General features: G+C 41.5%; 1 protein-coding gene across 9 annotated transcripts in view; it reads left to right on the forward strand.

The window, feature by feature from the left end:
- Nucleotides 1-19,213, forward strand: part of TMEM132B (transmembrane protein 132B) — a 475,992-nt gene that overhangs the window by 161,435 nt on the left and 295,344 nt on the right. For all 9 annotated transcript variants that reach the window (NM_001366854.1, XM_047428245.1, XM_047428243.1 and 6 more), the window contains one exon: nucleotides 1,632-2,523. In NM_001366854.1, coding sequence (NP_001353783.1) covers nucleotides 1,632-2,523 — 892 coding nt within the window. The remainder of the gene's footprint in view (nucleotides 1-1,631; nucleotides 2,524-19,213) is intronic.

A 19,213-nucleotide genomic window follows, 5' to 3' on the forward strand; every position in this document is an offset into this window, starting at 1 on the left:
TGTCTGTGTTTTCCCATTTGAAAGAAACATGCTAAGAAACACACATACATGTATGTACTCATGTGTACATGTTTATGTATATGTGCTGTGTGTTTTAATTAACAAAATAATACATGGTTGTAACAAATTAAAAGAAAGCAGAAACATAAATGGTGAAAAACAAAAACTTTCGCCTTTGGGTTCTATAGACACACAAACATAAATATATACATTTACATATACATATGTAGAATTTTAAAACTTTACCAAATAGGATCAAATATGACACATTTGATTTTTGTTTTTTTTACACTTTATTTGTTTTTTTATCCTTAATGTCATATTGTGGCCATCTTTTCAAGTATGTTTATGTAGCTCTACCGCATTTTAAGAAATAGTTTCATATTATTCCACTGTAAATGTTTAGTTTCCTGTTGATCAACCTATTGAATATGGATTAAAATAATAATTGTGGGTGAATATTGACAGCACATTTCTGTGTGCCAGCATTGTTCTATGTGCTTTATTTTATTTTGTTTTTTCTTGAGACAGGGTTTTGTTCTGTCGCCCAGATTGGAGTGCAGTGGTGCAATCCCAGCTCACTGCAATCTCCGCCTCTTGGGTTCAAGATCCTCCTGCCTCAGCCTCCCAAGTAGTTGGGACTACAGGCACATGCCACCATGCCTGGATAATTTTTGTGTTTTTTTTTTTTTTTTGTAGAGACAGGGTCTCACTGTTTTGCTCAGGCTGGTTTTGAACTCTTGGGGTCAAGTGACCCACCTGCCTTGGCTTCCCAACGTGCTGGGATTACAGGTGTGAGCCACCACACCTGGCGGTGCTTTGTACTTATTAACTCGTTAATCCTTGCGGCAACCCAGTAAGGTAGAATTCATGTTTGTCCTACTTTATGTGAGGACATTTGTGGCACAGAGAGGCTAAGTAACTTGGTGAAGGTTGCTCAGTTAGGAAGTGGCAAAGCCAGGATTCAAATCCAGCCATCCGGCTCAGCACATATGTTCTTAAGTTTGTTTGTTTGCAATTCTAAATGATGGTGTGGTGAACATCCTTGTAGATAGATAAGCCTGTGTGCATTCTCATTGGTATTTCGGAAGGAGAGAGTTCTAGAAGTAGGAAAGCTGAGCGGTAGCTTCACTCTCTTTTCAATAACAATAGTAGAGATGTCATCATGTCCACGTAGATTGTACTTATAGAAGTGATAGAGAGCAGCATAAATATCAAAGTAATAAGGCACTAACGTGTCACATACAATGGTGCAATGCCTGATTGGTAGACTTGGTAGGTACGCAACCTTTTATCTGTGGGGTAGATGAACAACGATGACCATGATCTTTTGAGTTTATGATTTCGCACAAGCAGCAGAAGCAATGTTTTCCCTTTAGAAAGATAACTGTTCACCCCCAAGACTATTGGATCAGTGGTAAATGGGGTTCCTCCCCACTCTGTGCTGTCTTTTTGGGAAGATCCTGAAGACCATACTTTATATAATTACAGGGCTTTCACTGTGATGAGACCTGGGGGAGAAACAGTGGCCAGTGGGCGGTTTGTTGGGGAGGTGGGTGGAGACTGCACTGCATTTATTTCATTACATCTCAGAACACGGTTTTATTCTTTTGCTTTCCTTTCTTGTGCAGTGACAGAGAGTCGAGGGATTGTGGATAGCCTGCAGAAGTTTTCCTCGCTCCCTGCTTACCTCCCCACGAACTTGCACATCTCCAATGCAGAGGAGTCCTTTTTCCTTAAAGAAGCCAACCAAGACCTCACAAGGAACTCCAGTCTGCAGGCCCGGGTGGAGCCATTCTTCATCTACCGAGCCAGGACACCCCCTATTATCAATGCCAGCTATGGCCCATTTTCAGTGGAGAAGATAATCCCCCAGGAGCTCCTGTTGACATCTACAGCCTTTGGAAACATGGACAAATTTCCCTTCAACTGGAAATTGAAATCCCACATCCTTGACAGCTCCATCTACTCCAACAGACCCAAAGTGCAGACCTTGTTTTATGTCACTGGCATGGGCTGGGATGACAGTGACCTTACGGAAGATCTACCCTGTGTCAAGATGTTTGCTTTCCCTGAGGCCAGGGAAGTGGCAGCCAGCTGTCGGCTGCAAGGGGCCCCAGGGCTGTGTGTGGCTGAGCTGGAGCTGCTGCCCGAGTGGTTCAGCTCAGGCCTGGACCTGGAACCAGAGGAGGAGATCCCAGCCCTGCTCGGGGGCACCACGATGGAGCTCTTCTTCACGCTCTACCCAGCTGACAAGGCTGGCCAGTGTCCTCTGGAGGAGGAAGGCAAGTGGGAGAACAATATCCACTCGGGCCTGGAGAGCCCCCAGCAAGCGTTTCCAGCCCGAGAGAGGATTGGGAGTGTGGTGGTCTACCCAACCCAAGATGATCTGAAGTGGTCCCTGGTGAGCTTGGACGAGAATGTGGTCATCTCGGTACCTCTGAATCTAGTCCGGGAAGGGGACACGGCCACCTTTTTGGTCTCTCTGACCAGTAGCTCTGTGGCAGACCAGTTCACTCTTAGGTAAGAGGCTTTGCCAGGTGGGATGGAACAGAAGCCAACTCTTAGTAATCAATGAATTGTCAATGAATAAAATGGGTGTTGATCATTTGCTGACTATTGTCAAAAATGAATACAGCTGGTCATTAAAGTGGTGAAAACAGATTTTATTCAGTAACTACGGACAGTAGGTAAAAGAGCTGAGCTTCATTACAATTTATGATCTGTGTGTTTTAAAGGGAGAATGAGGGATGGGGAAGAGTGGAGTCTCCATAGAGCCAGAGAAGCGACATAGTACAAAGGGTTGGGCAGTGTGAGTGCAAGGAGGCCAGCTGCGTCTGCTGGCTGGCAGTTATCAAAGTTAGGATTTTATCTTCCCACAGAGGCTGTGAGACAGAGGCATTGTCTTTGCTGATGATTCTGTTTCAGAAGAATGGCTCTCAGGTGCTTGGGAGGATGCGTCTTAGTTGCAAGAGACAGATGTTTACAATTGTAAGCCCTTTCTCATAAATGCTGTAGGAAAGGGAGGTCAGGGGCGTATCATCAGGTGTGCATTGGCTGGAACAAACAGGAAATTTCCCTGGCCATGCTGAGCTTTCTTAAGCAGGTACTATAAGAGGTGCAAAAGTGATCCTAGGGAGCTAGCCTTATGCTGCTAGAAGCCATATTAGAGTTTGGTGAAGTTTTTTAGTGCGGGGGTTTGGATGGAGTTGTCATGTGCTGAGAGTTCTGCAGTTCTCAGTATCCAGTGTAGTGAGAGATTCAAAACATTAAATAGAGACCCACACAAGACAATAGACCAGGGGTCAGAAAGCTTCTGGAAAGGGCCACATGGTGAAAAGACATCATGGGCCATGTAGTCTCTCTGGTGATGTCTCAACTCTGCTGTTGCAGCATGCAAGCAGCCATAAGTGAATGGGCTTGGCTGGGTTCCAATAAAACTTTAGTTACAAAAACAGAAGGTTGAATTTAGCCCAGGGGTCATGGTTTGCCAACCCCTGCAATATATGATCATGTTGAAGCTTGAGTAGTAGAGACCCTAAAGTCTACAGGAATTCACAGAAGAGAGTTATGTGTGTTGCAGTGGGCAGAAAATTTTTCATTTTGAGCTAGATCTTTAAGGATGAGTGGAATACGGGGGCAGACAAAGAAACAGTTCAAAACTGGGGGAAACAAAGTCCAGCCAAGAGACTGAGACAACATAAGTATATTAAAAGCAAGAATTTAATATAAAGAACCATAAACTATATATAAAGAAATGTTAACTAGGTAATTGAAAAGTCAAGAAGGCAATACTGAGGTACTAGGGAAGAGGCAGCTGCAGAAAGCGGCTATCATCCCTCCAGCTGGGAGAATAAGGGAAGAAGTTAAAAGTTTCAAAAACTTGGAGCTTGGAGCAGGGACCCTGTAGAGCAGCAACTAAAACCCCTGAGAAGAGGGCACAGCCTGTGCTGGTGTCACCAGGGCTAGGAGTCGTAAAACTGGTTTTTCAATGGTTGGAAATATTGCAAACTGGATTCATCTGCTATTATGGAAGTGAATTGCAGCTGCTGTCATGAAGCAGCAAGGCTGGGTGCCACTCATCAGAACAAGAAGCAAATAGGAAGCCAATGGAAAGAGGAGAAAATTCTTTCTCCCACCTTCCACCTGCCAGTCTCCCTCTAGCACCCCCTATTGACAGAACCAAACAAGGATCCTGCTGCCATCTATATTTTCTGAAGGCTCCCCCAAGTAAATCTGTTGTGAAACCAGGATTAAATACAACTGTTCTAGAACTCTGCGTTCTAGACTGTGAGGTTCAAGTGCTTCTTCTTCAGGAAGGCCTTTAAGGCTCTCACATGATAGTCTGGCCTTATCCCTGCCCTGTTTGATGTGTCAGGCAGAATCCTACAATGCTGCATATCAGTGGAAACCTTGTAAATGAATTCCAACTTCTAAATATACGAAAGAGCTTTCTAAGACAATTTCTTTCTCTGCAGTAAATAATTCTTTGTTAAAATGAGTCAGCAGCCTCTATCTGTATGATCAAGATTTGGTTTTAGGATCGCTAAAAGTAGGGGACTTCTATGTGCTGGGGGGACAAGGCTGTCTTTTCCTAATTTTGCTCACAAAAATGGATATCAGTAGGAGACAGTGGTGGCTTTGCCATATACCAGCTGTGTGCCCTTCGGCAAGTCACTTATCGTCTCTGGACCTTAGTTTCCCCATTGGTATGATAAGGATAGTGATGAAATCTATCTCCTGGGGTGGTGGTAAAGATTAAATAATTTAATAAAGTTCTTAGAACAATGCCTGGCAAATTGTGAGTCCTCAGTGAATGTTAGCCTATTGTTGTTTCCCTGGCATTCAGGAACTGGGCATATAAATTCCAACATAAGTGAACCTTGCTTTACAGATGCAAAGAAGGAGAAATGGAGAATTCATTGTGAGTCTAGTGTGCTCCTTCCAATCCTGACTGAGGCTGATCATGCCTTTTTGGAGTTGTGCTTATTCAGATGCCCACCAACAGGATTCCGAGGCTCTGGCAGATCCCAAGTAGGTTTTGTAGCCTGGAAGAAGCCAAGATTCTATTTGGAGCCTCTTGATTTAGCCTTTGGCTGTTACTGATTCAAAACTTGGTGTGGACTGAGCCCTGTGCTAGTCACTCCACTGGAAGGGGTGGGGTGGTCTAAAACCAGTTCTTGGCTCTGATAGAAACTAGAGAAGCCTGAAATCCAACCCCACAGAGATTCTTTTAGTATAAGGCAGTGTCATATGCTTGCTGTAGACCAAGAATGGCCAAGGGATGGCTTCACTGCCTCTGCCTCTCAGCACTCCCTCTACCATGGCAGACATTACCAATCAACTGCAGCACTTCAGCACTCCCTCTGCCATGGCAGACATTACCAATCAACTGCAGCACTTCAGCACTCCCTCTGCCATGGCAGACATTACCAATCAACTGCAGCACTTCAGCACTCCCTCTGCCATGGAGGACATTGAACCCACCCCTTCAGGCAGCCCCTATCACTGCTGTGGGGGGTTGGCACATAAGACTAAACTTATTTGCTACTCCTGATATAGAGATAATATTTTGGATGGGAAGTTAGAGGAAAAGGAGGGCAGATGGTCTGGTGGTCAGCAAAGCCTTGGAGTCTGGCTGGGAAAGGCATTTCAGGCCGGGCAGTGGCATACCCAGCATTAGCTAACATTCATTGAGACTTAGAATGGTTCAGCCCATGTGGTAAGTCCATTACATGAATTAACTGATTAAACTCTGTCAACAGACAACTGAAAGAGGCAAGTGCTATTATTATTCCCTTTTTTCTTTGAGGCACAGAGAAGTCAAGTAGTGTGTCCAGGGTCACACAGGTAGGGAGTGGTTGGTGTGAACCCCTGTGATCTGACCATAGAGCTTGTGCCCTTCATCCCCCACAGCTCACTGCCTCTAACAGACAAGGAGGGGCCCAGTCAGGCCAGAGCTAAGGGTTAATTTAGGGAAGAGGAGATTCATTTAGGGATGAGACTAGAAGAGGACTCAACATCCAGACTGTAGAAAGCCTTAGAGTATTATCTTCTTGGTAAGTAGAAACCCCTCAGGTATTTTTCTTTTTTCCCTAAGAAGTTAATTTTAGAGCTGAAATGGACTTTAATTCTGACTTGGCCTTGAAAAATCAAGCAATGAACTGTCAGCCTCCTGGAAATAGCATCCTTGGGGCCTTTGGAATTTGGACTGTGAGTCTGCAGCCCTCCAGCAGCCTCTTCCTTTAGGGAACCCACCAAGATTTTAGATTCTTGGCCTTTGGAGTTAAAGCGACAGGAGAGGGAGAGGACCAGAGGAGGCAGTTCAGCCAAAGGATGTTCTCAAATTCCCAAATCTTTGTTTAAACTTTAGTTGTGGGGACTTGATGCTTACTTAAAGGAAAAACATCTACTCAACAGTTTGTAAAACTGGTGGCGGTAGCCAAATTCAGCCCATAGAGGTGTGCCTTATTTAGCCCACCTGGCATTCTTTCAAATATTTAAGAGAGTTACCAATCTCTAACAACTGGGAGATTTTATATACCATTTTCTTTGAAAATTTTGAAGATTTAGCAAATTAGAACTAGCTGGTTGTAGTTCACCCCCTTTAGCTGCATCATAAACTGTCTAATTCACCCCTGTCCCCACCACTCCCTTCTGTCTCACACCTGGCCCATTTCACTCAGATATGTCACCCATCTGGCTCCTGAGGGTATTTGAATTTTGAAACCCTGATTCAGTACTGGGATAAAAAAGGATGCAATGCTAAAAAGGGAGTTTAGATTTTCATCTATAAAGGCAGGCATTGCCAATTCATTATGCGTGTTTGTGGGAGTCAGAAGTGACCAGTGGGTGCATCACAGGGAGTGAAACCACCCTCCATTATCGCTGGCATTATGGAGTGAATTAGTTACTTCATGTAAAGCACTTACAAGAGTGCCTGGCACACCAATTCTCTTTTATGCTATAATTAATATGTGTTAATTGATACTGTTAATTCATACTTTTAAATTATCATGTGTACTTGTCCCAGGTTCTGCATTTACCCTTTCTATACATTCCCTCACTGTGTTATCACAGCCAGCATACAAGGTAAGTACTAGTCACGTCCATGTTATGGATATGGAAACTGCGACTCTGAGAGGTGAGCGGTTACCTGTCTGAGGTCATGCATTGGGGAAATGGTGGAATTGGGGTGCAGGCCTGCATGTGTGAGTTGAGAGCCCCCACTTTAAAACACTCTTCTGGGCTCTTCTGCTTGTCTGGTTGGGGACTGATCTTTATTCACTACTAAAGCTCTCTGGGTCAGCATTTAGATTACTTATTAAGCTTTATTTGATGGCCAGAGAAAAATGCATTGAGATTGTGGATATAAATGAAGACCACCCAAATGAGAACAAACAGAGGAATATTTACTCAGAGCTTACTGTGTCAGTGGGGGTTGGTCACCAGCACTTGCATTAGCAGAGACTCAAAGGCAGGCAGAGGAATGAGAAAGCTTCAGGTGTGCTTGGATTGGAGGGTTTTGGCCTGGAGGAGCTGGAGGCAGGATAGCTAGAAGCAGACATTTTATGTGATGGGCTTGGGAGCACAGTTGGCTTTCTCTGGTTGGCCCGGAGTTGGAAGCAGAGGCAGAAAAGAGAAGAGCTGGGAGTCATTGACCAGGCTATCACTATTCTAGGCTGATTGTTGCAGAGGTTGTGGCTTGACTTCCTGGCTGCTGCACGGTGGAAGATCAGAGTTGTATTGTTATATGTTGTCTGGCCGTTGTCCATTTGTATATTCAGTCTCTCGAAATAAGATACTTTTCTTAGGCCTAAGGAAATGTGTTATTTCCCAGCGTAACTGATTGTCTGTTTTAATCATGTCTCTTATGAATGAGATGTGACACATTTCATTCTGGCTTAGGTGAGGACCCAGATCAAAGCGTGAATGTGCACAAGATTTGCTGAGATCGAATTTCAGAGCTGGAGACACATGGAAAAGAAACAGATGTGTACCATTCCACGTGCCATGCTGCTATTTCAGACTGCACATTGTAGAGGGGCCCGTCTGAACAAAAATTAAATCGGTGATTCTCTAATACCAAGATAGATTCTGTGCAGCATTAGCACGTACATCTCACCCATGCCTTGAAAAAACCCTTCAGCAAAGGGTCATCAAGTGGGGTTTGGAGGGGGCTGGGGGCTGGTGGCAGGGAAGTGCCAGGCTGGAGTTGGGGTAGGTCTTTGCTACACTTCCAGGAAAGTTTGAAATATTATGAAATTCTGCCCCCTCCAAATATAATATCTCTGGGGCTGAGAGAGGTCCTGGGAAGCTTTATCTCTGATTTATTAAAATAGGGTTTTCTCAGCTCACACAGAGAGCCTCCTGGGCTGACCTCTCCGTCTCTTAGACGGTGGAGCCCAGTGGTTAAGAATGTGAACTCTGAAGCCAGACTGTCTGGGTTTGAATCCTGACTCTGCCACATACCAGCTGTGTGACTTTGGGAAAGTTACTTAACTTCTCTGTGCCACAGTTTCCCAATCTGTACGTGGGGACAGTTTATGCTTTAAGTGACTATTTATGAAGTGTCAACTTTGTGGTCAGGTCAGACTCTTCCTTTAACTTGGAAGCCACCTTCCTCCTGGGTGTTCAGGCCAAACACCCAGTAACCACGATTGATTCTCCCTATTCTCTGACACTCCACAGCTGAGTCATCAGTAAATTCTAGAGTTCTTCCTCTGAAATATATAGACTCTATCTACCTCCACTGCTATGACCCAGGTCTAAGCCAGCATCCCCTCCTGGCTGGACATCTACAGGAGCCCCCTTGAGGTCTCCCTGCCTCCATTTTTGCCCGTGTAGTCTGTTCTGGAGTTAAGGCTCAGGCCGCCATGTTGCCTACAAGGCCCTGCGTGGTCTGGACCTGTTATCTCCCATGACTTTTCCTCTCCCCACTCAGCAACAGCCATGCTGGCCCACCCCCTTTTTGGCCTTTAGGCATGCTCCTACCCAGGGCCTCTGCACCGGCTTCAATAACTCACCCTTAGCTTCCTACTTAATCCTGCACCCCCTGCCCCACTGGGCCTCTTGCCCTGTCCTGATTTTTTGACCTACTATATTTGTGTTAACGACGTAAGATATCATTGTTTATTGTCTGCTTTTCCTGCTAGCAAGTCATCTCCATAAGGGCAGGGACCTTTGTCTCCTGTATTTTTGATGTATCTTGAGGATCTAGAACATTGTCTACCACATAGTAAGTGCTCAATAAATACTTGTTGAATGAATGAATGTATCCTAGGTATTGTGAGGCATTGTTCCCAGATAAAGGGAACAATGGCAATGAATAAATGAATCGTCAAGATTGTATGAATTCATGATATAAATAAGTAACAATTTCATAAATATTGAAAGTTAGGACACATAGGGGATGCAATTCTGGCAAAAGTTTCCTCCTACCTGTAATGTGATTACTGATTCGTCACCTCTAATCAAACAATGGGCTATGCCAGTGTATCCTAAACTTGAGTAATTCATACACTGGCTTTGAGTTTTTTGGGTCATATCAGATACCATCATGTGCCACCTTCATAAGTTAAATCATGTACCCGTGCCTTCTGTGCAGTTTTTGTTTACTCTTTGTCTTTAAATCATATCACTTTTTAAAACTCATATGAATGCATTTAGAAAGGAAACCTAACATCTGGTACCATAAATGGAAACCAATATTACTTGTTAACATGAAAGGGTATTATAAAAATAAATTAACATAAAATAGCAACAACAAAAAACAATGCCATTAAGTTCTAAGTAGGCACCATCACCTGCCGAAGACCGGGGACCTGTGGCCTGGTCTCTGTAGAAGAAGAAGAGCATGTGCTATGGAGAGGCCAGGGCCACACTGAGTCACCACTGGAAGTCATCAGAGGCTTAAAGGAGACCTTGATGGGGATGTTTGTCTCCCTCCAGGACTTGATGTTATTAAGGCCACACCTGTGCATCAGAACCATCTGCAGACCCAGGACTCATGTCACGCCCTGGGAAACCTGGCTGGTGTTGACTGTCTTATCCATGAGAAGACAATGCAGCCTTAGTTGCACCCCAGGCATTACCTGCTGGTTAGCCTCAGTCTCCCCCATCCCTGGGTTGGAGGCAGAAATCTGTTGGGTGCGTTCTCCCGGTGCCCTGGAGGCTGCCAGCTCTATGTAGTGGTCTTTGATTGTACAAGTGTTTTGTGGTCGCCTATTATATGTGGCATATCTTTGGTTTGCCTTCTAATTTCCTTGTTTTTTTTTGAAATCAAGCACCCATGCTCCCATCCCTAATCAAATTCACACTCTCTATGGGGGGGAGACAGCAAACACACAAATAAATAGAAATACACACAATTGAAACCCATGCTAAGAGCCATGAAGGAAACCACAGTATGTAAGACATTTTCATTTTGTTTTACTTTTTAAAAAATTTTTTAGCTTTTTATTTTGGAATCCTTTTAGACTTATGGAAAAGTCTAAAACTTCTATTTCCCTTAATGCTAATATCTTATGTAACCACAATACAAATATCAAAACTAGGACATTAATGTTGGTATATTGTTATTTAACAGACATTCTTAAAAATTGCCAGCTGTCCCACTGGTATCCTTTTTCTGCTCCAGGAACCCCACAGCACAGGGTTGTTATATCTTGCTTGTCTCCTTCATTCTGTTTTTTTACACTTCTTTTTATATTTTTTTCTATGACTTTAACACTTTTAAAGACTGCTGGCCAGTTATTTTTGAGAAAGTTCCTCAATTTGGGTCTGTCTGGTGTTTTCTCATGATTGGATTGAGGATGTACCTGTTTGGCCAGAATACCAGTGAAGTGCTCTGTCCTCCTCAGTGCACCATATCAGGAGGTAACTGATGTGTCTTCTCAGCAGTGATGGTTAAGTTTGTGTCTGCCCCGTTTCTCCACTGTAAAGTTGCTGTTTCCCCCTTTGTAGTTGGTAATAATAACACCTGGGAAGATTGTTTGAGATTACACATTTATCTTGTTTTGCATCATCCTTTTGCTTATAACTTTTGGCATCCATTGACGATTCTTGTCTCAAATGCAGTAATTTCTAAGTGAATGACTTAGAAGTGAATATTGTAGAAGAATCTTGGCTCTTCCTGATCACTTCTTATTTGAATTTATTTTGTGAGGCAAAGGAGCAAACATAAAAGCCATGTTTGCTCATTTCTACTTGCCAGCATAATTTCACAAAACTCCTGACTCCGTAATGATGTGCAGCTCTCCGGAAGGATGCTTTAAAGACAAAACAGGATCGAGCACATGGCCCCCACATCTCTTGCTTGAATCACTGCATTTCTTAATAGATAAATGATCCTAGTTCTTGCCTTTTCCTGCACATAAGATAATACCTGACAGGGTGAATGTTTATGCTTCTACAATCTATAACCAGATGTGCTTAGTAATCTCTAACCAGATGTGTTCCTACACCCAATACAATTAATAAAAATTATGCAAATATATATTGCGATTTTATTAGTTATGTTTTTTCCAATCTATAATATACTTTAGCACTGTTAAATATGTACCATTATATGTAATCTATAATATTCTTATAACAATCCTGTTAAGATGTTATATTGGCTACAAAAAAGACAATGTCAAAAAAACCCCAGATCATATTAGTAAAAAAAAAGATATGATCCAAATAGTATTTTCTGATAGACAAATATACACTCTGGGCTCAGTGCTCATTCCTTATGGTTACAACTAAAGACCATGAGCTTCCTAAAAAAGTAGCCTCCCTAACTACATGAGACAATCAACACTGATTTTATAAATACCAGCCAGTTGGTTTATGAACAAAAGCGAAAACTTGTAAGAAAAATAACAAATGTAAAAAGCCATGTTTGGTCATTTCTACTTGCCAGCAGAAGTTCACGAAACTCCCGACCCTGTGATGACTTACAACTTTTGGGAAAAATACTTTAAAAACAAAACAAGGCCAGGTGCAGTGGTTCACGCCTGTAATCCCAGCACTTTGGGAGGCCGAGGCAGGCAGATCCTGAGGTCAAGAGATTGAGACCATCCTGGCCAACATGGTGAAACCCCGTCTCTACTAAAGATATAAAAATTAGCTGGGCGTGGTGGCACGTGCCTCTAGTCCCAGCTACTTGGGAGGCTGAGGCAGGAGAATCACTTGAACCCAGGAGGTGGAGGTTGCAGTGAGCTGAGATCGTGCCACTGTACACCAGCCTGGCGACAGAGCAAGACTCCGTCTCAAAACAAAACAAAACAAAATAGAACACATGGCCCCCACATCTCTTGCCTGAGTCACTACATTTTTTAACAGATAAATAATCCTAGTTCCTGTCTTTTCCTACATGTAAGATAACATCTGACAAAGGGATTTTACTTCTGCAATCTATAACCAGACAAACTTTAATAATCTATAACCCGATTTACTCTTACACCCCAAACCTTGATGTAATTTTACACACATTGAACCTGTACAATCTATATATAAGTTATAAAGTAAAACACTGTTTCAAAACAGTCTGAAACAACCTCTCCAAGAGACTGCTCCTAGACGATGGTCTACAATAAGACTGTAAATGAAACAAATTTTAATTCCTTAAAAACTTAATTTTTTTCTTTAGTCAACAATATGAAGAGGTGAACTGGTAGCAATTAGACATCACATTAGACATCGTTAGACTTTTACTGCCTGGTGCTGAAATGAAGGAAGGTGGTCTGTGTGCTCAGGGGGTCTGGAAGGCTTTGAGGAAACAGACATTCTTGACCTGGAGCATTAACTAGCAATGCAAGGTATGGCTTAAGTACCTGAGGAAGTGCTGTGGGTAGGAAGTGACATCAGGTTAAGGTCATTAGTGCAGTCCACGGGGGTAAATCAGGGCAGGCCTCCTGGAGGAGGAGGCTGTGGACGATGGGCAGGTTTTGGATCAATTAAAGGAAAATAGGAGACGGTGTGTGGGTAGGGCAGTATGATCAAAGAATCTGGTATGCCTAGGAAGCTCTCGAGAGGCAAGTTTTCTGAGTGATTAGAATCAATAAGGCTTGGGGTGAAATCTCAACTCCCCTCCTTACTGTCTATGTGACTTTGCACATGTCACTCCACCTCTCTGAGCCTTGCCTTCCTCTCCTGTACAGTGAGAGTAGTAATAGCACCAGTCTTTTGGGCTGTGAAGAGTAAATGAGATAAGGAAGCTACCAAGCCTAGTGCCTGGGAGCAATTTGACTGTGATGCTTGGTGCCAGTCTTAGTGGTGTCTAAGTGGATTCTGGAAGCTGCCTCAAAGACACACTACAGGGACACGCCCGCTGCCCAGCCCACCCTCAGCAGTGGCTCCCACCCCCTATGCACCTGTCACATGCAGGGCTTGCTATGAGTTTCTTATGTACGTTGTCATCACTCATCCTCAGGACAGCTCTGGAAATGACTGGTTCCTCCATTTAGAGATGAAGAAACAGGCTCAGAAATGCTAAGTCACTTGCCCAAGGGTCACACAGCCAGAAAGTGACAGAACCAGGACCCTAACCCAGATCGGCCCACTTCAAAGCTCATGCCTCTCTCATGATCCCCCATTTCAAAGGTTAATAATCTTAATGCTTAGTTTTTACATTTAAAAAAACAGTCACCTATTTGAGGAACAGTCCCCATGTGGCAACAAAAATTCAGGCTTTACTAGTCTCTTTTCCCAAATAAAACTCAGATTTCCCTTGAGGAAAGTGTGCAGAGACACAGATGCTCTGAAATCTGCAACCTTGGAGCCCAGATCAAGTCGAGAGCTAAGAGCTTAGATTTTGGTAGAGCTTGGAAATGAGGACAGGTGAGTGTTTCCCAAGCTAACTGTCACCTGCACATTGTGCTTAGCTGACACTAGTTCCAAATGTTATCTGCTGCATTTAGGGAGCCTGTTTCCGTTAATAAGAACATGGTGCTTACCCCCCAAATCTGCCTTGTTTTCTCTCCCAATTGCATTGGAGTCTGTGAGCTCTGATGGAGGCTGGTAAGAAGTAAGTGTAAATTTCAGATGCTTGAAGAGCCTGTGCACAAAAGTAGATTTTTACCTGAGCTGATTACTTTATCTCAGATCACAACTTTGGAAAATTGGAGTATACCTAGATTATGGTGGTGGCCAATATCTTAGTGAACACTTAGTTTGTACCAAGCCACACTTAGATATGCCATGGCCTTAGCCCCTGCAGTCATGCTAGGAGGCTGGAATGATTGTTTTTAAGCCTGTTTTACAGATGAAGAAACAGAGCCTCTGCCTCTGCCTGCCTGCACCTGCTCCCAGGTGTGCAGTGTTTGTTGGTAGGGCTACTTGTCTGCAAGTGGCTGGGGCATGACCTTGGCTGACCTTGACACCCAGCATCAAGACCCTCCTTTCCTTCTCCTGCTCAGCGCTTCCCTGTGCCTGGGTGCTGACTCCCTGACTGACATGCTTGCAGAACAAGGCTCTATCACACCCTGATACTGAGTTCTCATTCTTCAATTATGCTCTCCTTGTACTTACATTTTGTTTCTTTTAGGAAGTCTATCCCAGTAATTTTATTTCAAATGACCTGGAATATTGTTTTTTAAAAAAGAAACCCCAAGGAGTTTTATACATGCCCTGGATAAGGTATATTTCTTAACATGGTAAAAAACAGTTGACATGAAATCGACCCTATTAACACATCTTAAAGTGTACAGTACAGTAGTGTTAACTACATGCGCACTATTGGATAGTAGATTTCTAGAACTTGTTCATCTTGCAGGACTGAAACTACACTCACCACATAGCAATGTCCCATTTCTCCCTGCCCCTTGGCTCCTGGTAGCCACCATTCTACTCTGTACGTCTGTGAGTTGAGTTTGAGTCCTTTAGGTACCTCATAGAATGGAAACCATGCAGTATTTGTCCTTCTATAATTGGCTTATTCATCTATGACTTTTTAAAACTTAACTTTAAAATACACAAGTAATACTGTAAAACAATAATCTGCAACAATACAGACAAGGCCAGCGTCCATGCTGACAACCCCCTTCCAGTCCTGATTGCTTCGAAGGGGTAACCAACCCATTTACAGTTTAGTGTTGAACCCTAAAGAGCACTTTCTCATGCCCCATTCTTTGTATCTGCTCGAAGAGCTCTATGGTAAGTTAACTAGTCATTCTCCCATCAGTGGGCATTAGTTTGCCTCCAGTTTTTCACTGGCACCTCAAGCAGTGCTGCAGGGGACATCCTTGCCTGCCACGTTGAACACAAACAAGGATTTCTCTGGGGTCGAGGCAGCAGGGTAGAGTGGCTCAGAGCTTGGAGCCTGGAGCCAGTTTGCTGGCTCAAATCCTAACTTTACCATCTATAAAGTACCAGTTTTAAACTTAAGTGTAAATAAAGTTAAAAAATGAAGGCTCAATTGAACAAGGGTCCCCAGAGTTGCCAGCCCCAGGATGTTTCACCATCCCTTACTGATCCCCACAACCCTGCCTATACCTCTGTGAATAGTCCCTTCATGAGACCTTCTGAAGCCCTGATGGGTACAGTGGTGTGTTAGCACAGCGGTAAAGAAGGAAGCTGCCTGGATCCAGCCTAAACCACCTTTATGGCTTTGCATGATGTTTCCCAGGCTGAGAGTGAAGGTCTAGGGGCAAGCAGTGTGGGGTCTGCCTCCCCGTTGGAAATTTAACCCTATGAGATAGAGCTGGCAGTTTTCAGTGCCTAGTAGTGTTTTTTGGGCCTGAGTGAAATAGGGTTGGTGGCACCCCTAGGACTTTCTATTCCTTGTGTTTCAGACTCAGAATATTGAGTGTGTGTGTGGCAGGCACTTTGCTATGTGCTTTTTATCCATCCGTCTTATGTACTTCTTTTCAATGATCTTCAGAGGTAGCAGAATGAGCATCCTTACCTGTTACATGAGGAAACTGAGGCTTAGAAAGATAAGTGACTTCCTCAAATCCACAAAACCAAGAAGCTAGGGTTTGGACTCAGGTCTTCCCATGCCCAGAATCTGAGCATCTCACTACTATGCTAGGCTCAGAGAGGCCACATCTTGAGATGGTTTAATAGAAATATTCATTAGAGGAAAGTGGATAAATGAATAGCTACATATTTATACGGATGAATGCTCTACAGATATGAAAATAAATTCATGTCTCCATTCTTGGATAAATCCCCAAGATTTGAGGCTAAGTGGAAGAACAAAGCAAATTATTAGCTTATATCTACAGTAGCATACAGTTTAAAACGTGCAATATATTCATAATTCTATTTGTTGTATATAAACACATTCCTGTTTGGTCATGCATATATGTGGACATCATAAACACCAATCAAGGGACTGGTTATCTCTGGGGAAGAACAAAGGTTGAAGGGTGTCTAGGGAACTTCAACTGTATCTGCATGTTTTATCTGTTAATCTAGTTGGTGGGAGACATGGGTTTTCATTTTATTCCTCTCCATACTCTTTTACATATTGGAAATATTTTATATTTTCCCATATTTTATTTTGAAAAATTTTAAACATGACAAAGTTAAAAGAAATGTATTGTGAGAATCCATATACCCACCACTTAGATTCTACCATTAATATTTTACTGTTCTTACTTTACTACATATCTATCAATCTATCTCTTCATCCATCAATCCATCTTATTTTCTGATGTGTTTAAAAGTAGTTTGCAGACATTTGTTCACTTCCTTATAAATAGCTTAGTATGTACATTATTAGCTAGGATTTGATATTTATGTGATTTTGACTGGAATTACATTGACTATAGAGATCAATTTATGGAGAATTACCATTGTAACAATGTTGGGTCTTCCGATATAAGAACATGGTATATTTCCTCATTTATTTATATCTCCTTTGATTATCTTCAGCTATGCTTTGTAGTTTTCATTGTACAGATCTTGCACATCCCTTGTTAACTTTATTTCTTAGTATTTTATATTTTAATATTATAAATTGACTTGATTTTATTTTCATTTTAAGATGTTTTGTTGATAGGATATAGCAATACAGTTGATTTTTTTGTGTGTACTGAGGTTGTATCCTGTAACCTTGCCAAATTCACTTATCTGTATCTTTATACTTAAAATGTGCCTCTTGTAGATAGCATACACTTGTGTCTTGTATTTTTTATCTGTTTTGATAATCTGTATTTTAATTAGTATGCTTATTTCATTAATATTTAATATGTAATTTCATTAATGTGCTAGTCTATTAATATTTAATGTAATTACTAATGTTACCAGATTTGGGGTTACCACTTTATTATTTGGTTTCTCTTTTTCTTTTTGTTTGGTATTCCTCTGTTCTTCTTTTCCTGCTTTTTTTTTGGGCATTATTTGCATACTTTTAAGAATTCTAGTTTAACTTTTATATAGGCTTTTTAGCTGCACTTTCTTGCATTATATTTTTAGTAGTTGCTTCAGAAATTACCATATACATGCTTAACTTTTCACAGTCTATTTTGAGATAGACTTTCCATAAAATGTAGATAGTAGGTCCACTTAACCATCCCATGTCCTTTATGTTAATGTTACTTTGTATAATTACATAGATATATGTTAAAAACCCTCGAAGAGAATATTATAACTTTTACTTTAAATAGTTATATGTATTATAAAGACATTAGGAAGAAAAAGCAATAGTAGCCTTTTGCATTTATCCAGATTTTGCCATTTCTGATGTTCTTCATTCCTTTCTGGGGATCTAAGTTTTCATTTGTTGTTATTTCCCTTCAGCATGTATGACTTCTCTTGGCAATTTTTTGAAGTACATATTTACTGGCAATAAATTCCTTTAGTCTCTTTTATCTGAAAATCCTTTATTTCATTTTTATTCCAGAAGATTTTTTTTTGCTATTTGTAGAGTTCTGAGTTGGCAGTTTTTTTCTTTCAGCATTTTAAAGATATTGTTCTACTTGATTTAAAAATTATATTATAGTTGTACATATTTTTGGGCAGATGTGATATTTTGATACATGTATAAAATGTGTAATTATCAAATCAGGGTAATTGGCATATCCATCACCTCAAACATTTTTCTTTGTGTTGGGAACATTAGAATTCTTCTCTTCTAGCTATTTGGAAATATATAATAAATTATTGTTAACTATAATTTCCCTACTCTACTATTGAATACTAAAACTATTTCCTTCCATCTACTGTATTTTTGTATCCGTTAATCAACTTCTCATCCCTCTCCTTCCCACTTCCCTTCCCAGCCTCTGGGAACCTTCATTCTACTCTCTACCTCCAAGAGGCCCACTTTCTTTTTTTTTAAGCTGTCATATGTTAGTGAGAACATGTGATATTTGTCTTTCTGTGCCTGGCTTATTTAACACTTAACATAATGGCTTCCAGTTCCACCCACATTGCTGCAAATGACAGGATTTGATTCTTTTTATGGCTGAATAATATTGCTGTGTGTGTGTGTGTACACAGCACATTTTCTTTATTCGTTCATCCATTGATGGACACTTAGGTTGATTCCATATTGTGGCTACTGTGAATAGTGCTGCAGTAAACGCAGGAGTGCAGATATCTCTTTGATATGATGATTACCCACCAACAATGTAGGAGTGTTCCTCTTTCTCAGCATCCTCACCAGCATTTGTTATTTTTTTTATTGTCTTTTTGATAGTGCCATTTTAACTGGGGTGAGATGGTGAGATGTTTTGATTCACTTGCTTTTGACCTCCATAATTTCTGATAAGAAGTCAGCCATTAATGAATCAGTCACCTGTAGGTGATGTGTTGCTGTTCTTTTGCTGCTTTTAAGATTTGCTCATCATCTTTGCCTTTCAACGGTTTAGCTACAATGTGCAGAGGTATGGACTTTTAAATGTTTATCCTGCCTTGGGTTTGTTGTGTAGTTAAATTTGTACATTTATGTCTTTTATCAAATTTGGGAGAGTTTCAGTCATTATTTATTAAAATATTCATTTCTGCCTCATTTCCTTACTCCTCTGCATCTGGAATGTCAATTACACATATACTAGACTATCTATTATTATCTAACAGGCCTCTGAGTCTCTGTTCATTTTCTTCAGTCTTTTTTCTCACTCATTTTACATTGAATAATTCCATTGATTTATCTTCAAATTCATTGATTCTTTCTCCTGTCATCTTTATTTGGGTATTAAGTCCACCAGTGCAATTTTACTTTTAGCTATTGTAGTTTTCGATCTAGACTTTCCATTTTGTTCTTTTATTGTCATTTTTA

Source organism: Homo sapiens, chromosome 12 (assembly GCF_000001405.40).
Source record: "Homo sapiens chromosome 12, GRCh38.p14 Primary Assembly".
NCBI lineage: Eukaryota > Metazoa > Chordata > Mammalia > Primates > Hominidae > Homo > Homo sapiens.